Source organism: Homo sapiens, chromosome 13 (genome assembly GCF_000001405.40).
Source record: "Homo sapiens chromosome 13, GRCh38.p14 Primary Assembly".
In the NCBI taxonomy this organism is placed as follows: Eukaryota; Metazoa; Chordata; class Mammalia; order Primates; family Hominidae; genus Homo; species Homo sapiens.
The window spans coordinates 57,360,909-57,366,182 of NC_000013.11; positions in this window are offsets into that span (position 1 = coordinate 57,360,909).

Sequence of the window (5,274 nt, forward strand, 5' to 3'; positions counted from 1 at the left end):
ACTCTTTATACATGTTGTTATCTCTTACAATTAAAAAAGCAATATGAAATCTCTATATAGAAACGACATGACCAAGGAATAAAACAGCTGTGAGTGGTAAAGCATGGAATTTGATAATACGATTATACTTTGGTGGCTTTCACTTCTTCCCCCAGGGATCTAAATTTGTTCATTATTTACAATAAGCATTTCCCTTAAAAAAACACTAAGCCTGGCCAAGTGAAGAATCAACAAATGAAAAAATGAACAGCAGAAGAGAATTATTCTACAATAAGAAATCAATTGTGTCTCTCAACTGAGAATCACTAGCAAGAAACTGGTAAACCAACCAACAAGTGGGTAAAGGAAATGTGAAATTATATAACTAAATAAATACACACAAACACACACACACACACACACACACACACACGCACACACACAAGCACACACCATAGAATACTACTCAACCACACAAAGGAAGGAAATAATAGCATTTACATTTGCAGCAACCTGGATGGAGTTGGAGATCATTATTCTAAGTGAAGTAACTCAGGAATGGAAAACCACATCTCGTATGTTCTCACTTATAAGTGGGAGCTAAGCTATAAGGACATGAAGGCATAAGAACAATATAATGGACTTTGGATACTCGGAGGGAAAGGTGGGAGGAGGATGAGGGATAAAAGACTACACATTGGGTACAGTGTACACTGCTTGGGTGATGGGTGCACCAATTCCCAGAAATCACCACTTAAGAACTTTTCCATGCAACTGAACACCATCTGTTTCCCCAAAACTGTTGAAATGAAAATAAAAGTAAAATAGTGTGTAACAAATAAAAAAGAAAACTAAATGTGTAACGGATTGTAGGGAACGGAGGCCATGGGTCTGTAGATCTGTACGTAATGATTGGTGTCTTCCAATAAAAGGTCCAGACTCCCTTAATATTAAAGGTTAAGTAATCCCTTTTGAATATTAAAATAACTACAATAGCTCTTTTATACAAAATTGATACACGCATGCACGCACACATATACACAACCATATATTTTCTGAAGTAAATACGAATTTATTTCTTTTCATGTAATGAAATATTTGTACTCTGACTTCTGATTACTTCCTTCCCAGATGTTCTGCATCATACTCTAGAGCTACCAACTAACTGAAGCTCCCAGAGCAGCTTACTGTCTCATATTTTTTGACACTTTTTTGCTCTTCTCTAGAAAGGCATTAATCTTCTTCTCTACCTGACATACATTCCTCCACATTCATCCTATAAAATGCAAAATAATCATTACGTATTCCATGAAGATTCTGATTTCCCTTAATATCTTACCCAATCCTTTGTGTTAGTGGTATGCTTTTTATATCATTTCTATTGGATAGCCTGTGTGTATGACTGAAAGTGAATTGCTGGGGGTATGACCGCTTTCTTCCTCATCTTTGAATCATTGTTTCCTAGTAAAACATACGCAATGTAAGGTGCACAGCAAATATTTGTTGAAAATAATTAAGAAAAATTCCCACTCTTCAGCAGTATACTAAATTGTCCAATCAAATGAAAGAGTAAGTCAATTTCCAGTGTCTAACAATTTCTGAGAGCTAATTTTAGCACTGAAAATGTGAGAGAAATTCAGTATTTAAGAATTATATAAATTTTGCAGATAAAAGATTGGTGTTGCAGAACCATGAATGTTTAACAATTTGTCAGTTCAGTATACACTATTCTGAATATTTTAGATCCTTCATTACCCTCTGCTTTCTTTTTATGTTTAGCCACACTTTGTGAAGCATTGCTTTGTAATATTGTGGTAATAATTCATAGCATTATCTCTGATGTCCAATATAAAAGACAATCAGTTTAAAAATAGATCAAGACAATGGATGATTAATAAAATCAAATAACTTAAGAATTAACATACCTCTGAAATATATCAAAGACCTATTTGGTAATAATTACATAGAATAGGCCAATTTGAAGCATACTATATTTAAGTAATAGTTGTTTTAAACATATTCTCCTGCATTTCAACTCATTTTTAGAAAAATTTATAGTAAGCTTAGAAAGAACTCTAAAAATGTATTAATGTAAACATTTAAATGATTTTGTGTTTTATGAGTTATATAATGAAGATTTGTTTATTGATTTCCACTAACCTTTAGTTATAAAATTAATAATTTCAATAAATAACTGTGAGGTTAGATTAAAACCCATAGAGTAATGGCTTTTTTGGTGCCAAGATAAGAATAATTCATAAAAAAATACATGTCTAAATCTCATTGATAATAATTTATAAACAATAACTGCAAATATTTTACATTTTCATCATGGCATTAAATATTGCTGCAATCGAATCTGTGACTGTAGAAACTTCTTAATAATTTGTATAATTATTGGTAGACACAAAAATTTCTAGATATATTATCCTATCCTTTTCTTAGGAGAATGTTTTTTAAAGTGATATTTTGCTTGGAACTTACAAGATTTATTCAAATATAAGTAAATGAGTTTTGCTACTTCAAATGCTTAATTATATAAATACAACCAGGTATACACAAAATTGATGGTAATTGTTTGTTTTACATGGTTATCTAAAACATATTGAGAACTTGGGGTACAAAATAAACAACGCTTTTTACAAAGAGCTTTGACCTTTGACCTGATAAGAATTTATTGTATTATTGCTGATTTCACACACCTAGCCCCATATCTCCATATATAGTGTTTTTCCAATATAATATTTTAAATCTGTTATGAATTTTTAGTTATCTATCATATGTATTCTATGAACATATTCTTAAAATATATTTATTTTCACAATAAAAATGTGATATTACTTAATTCACATACCCAAAATTGTATTTTTCAATAAATATTATTTTTATATTATTATTATCATCATCATCGTTATTACTCTAAAATCAAATAAGAAACCAAAAGTCAATGTTCCATTTGTCTGTTACTGTTCAGGAAATATTACAATATGGCCATCATGAATTTTGATTTTTGTATGTTTATCATAACCTTTGAATCACTTTAATTTTTGAAATGTTGAACTTTTACCTTACAAAGCAGCCTTGCAGTTATTATCTCAGGAAATGCAATAATTATCTGAAGACTGTAACCAGAAAGCTGGTCAATTTTTAAAAAGTCATTTAAATTCCATTGTTTCCACTTATTCTTAATCTTCCATCTGTTTATTATAATACAGTAACAACTTTTTAAAATCTGAGTATGCCTTCAACTTTTCAAAAGGGTAGAATTTGCATGGTGCAACATCCTGTCTTCCTATACGACTCAATTACTATTAGAGAAATATTATTTACTAGCAGAAAATGTGCATATAAAGTCCTTTATAGCTTCTATGATGATGCAACTTTTAATTTTAAAAAATCACTTTATTGTATTCTCTTAAAAACTAATACATGAATTTGAAAATGGAGTTAAAACATTATAGAAAATGCTCTATTTTATTATTGAAAATGCAGTAAACATTTTGGCATAACACATAGAGAACATTTTCTTACTTGAATAAAATATTCATTGTTAAATAAAAATCACATATGTTATTTCAACTACCTGAAAACTGTAATATAATAAATATAAACAATGTTACAAATCAAGAAAAATACAATTGTATTAGCTATTTGAAGATTACTTAAAGAGTATAACCTGTACTCTTTCCTGGAATCTGTTTTTTTGTAACTACATGCCTAGCTAGATCACTGCTTTCTTCAATCTCTTAAAACTTGTCATTTTTTTTTTCTTTTGAATATCTGCTTCTGCAAAATAAAATAAACTTAAAAGAAAATAGCATATACCTCTCAATCCACAACCTGTTACCATTTCATCACAATATCTAGGTCCTTGCAATAACTCTCAGTAGCCACAGTCAAATCTTCTCATGAATCATATGTGAATGGTTTGTAGTGACTTGTGAATCTATTCTCGTGGAAATTCTACTAACCAGAACATCTTTCTTTAAATTTTTATAATATAACACTAGTAACTTACAATTTGAAATTAAAAGTTTAAATCATTTAGTGATCTTTCTCCATATCAAGTAATAATTTCTTTCTCAGGGCTAGGGTAAAAATACTAAGTCTCCTCTTTGCTTGTTCTGTAGAAATCAACTTTAGGAAAGGTGATGGTTTGAAGTTTCTGGTAAATTCTAAAGAACAGTAATAATATTAAGAGAATCCAAGTAGGCTCAGAATTTTCACAGACATCAACATTCATCAAAAAAGTTAATTAATTTTTCAATTGAGTTTAAACTGAAATTCAAAGTAACTGAGGCAGTGCAACAATTATATTTCTTTTCTCACCTATTTGTAAAGGTAAAAAATTATTTGGCCTGAGATATACAGGGTTTTATAAGACAAGGAGTCAAATTCATGGATGTCATTTAGGAAAAAACTAAGTTTCCCTTTGACTGTTTAGTGCTGAAATAAGAAAAATCCACAAATTCTCCAAGAATGCTTCTGGAATTTGCTATCCCAGAGAAGAAACTGTCCACCTCCCACTCCTATCGTAGGGAAGTTAGAGTCTGGTTTCATTACAAATCTGCAGACCATGGACAAGATAAGAGTTATGCATCTTACCTACAGGTCTTAGAATCAAATAAAAAATCATCGCCAAAAATACAACTTGCCTTAGATGTGTGCTGTGACCATTTATTATTTCATTAAAATAGTGAAATATTTAATGATGTTTGAATATAAAATACTAGACATAGTTGAATGCATATTTCTCCTCCCTTCATACCCTTAATCACAAAATATAACATACCCCAGATTAAATGAGCCAAGATGCCCATCCCCCACAACTAGCATAGATGGTTTCTTCATTTCACAGTTTCCACAAGCAGCACAGAACCAGCTCCACAAAGATTGCCAAAGGGAAATACCCTTAATGTTTTCTGTCTATAAAACATATTTTATGAATAGGTTCAAACTGCTTTAATAATCCATCTTGATGAGTTTGTTCCTACCCTTAAGAGATTACCCCAAATCATGCTAGACTTTACTATAAGATATATATTATTTACGTAGCAGAGCTGTATAGCCAAGAGTTAAGTCAAAGAAGGGCAAATACATTTTAACTCTGTTACACTCTAAAATAGCTGAAATTCTGCACTATCATCTACCTTTTTCTGCTTGAAAAATACCTTTCCAATTTTTTCATGAATGCAACCACCTTTCTTATTCATTCTTCTCTTGGCACAATCATTTTATTTTAATGGATTTTCAATTTCGTGAATAATTACTATGCTAATATTTAACACATATTCC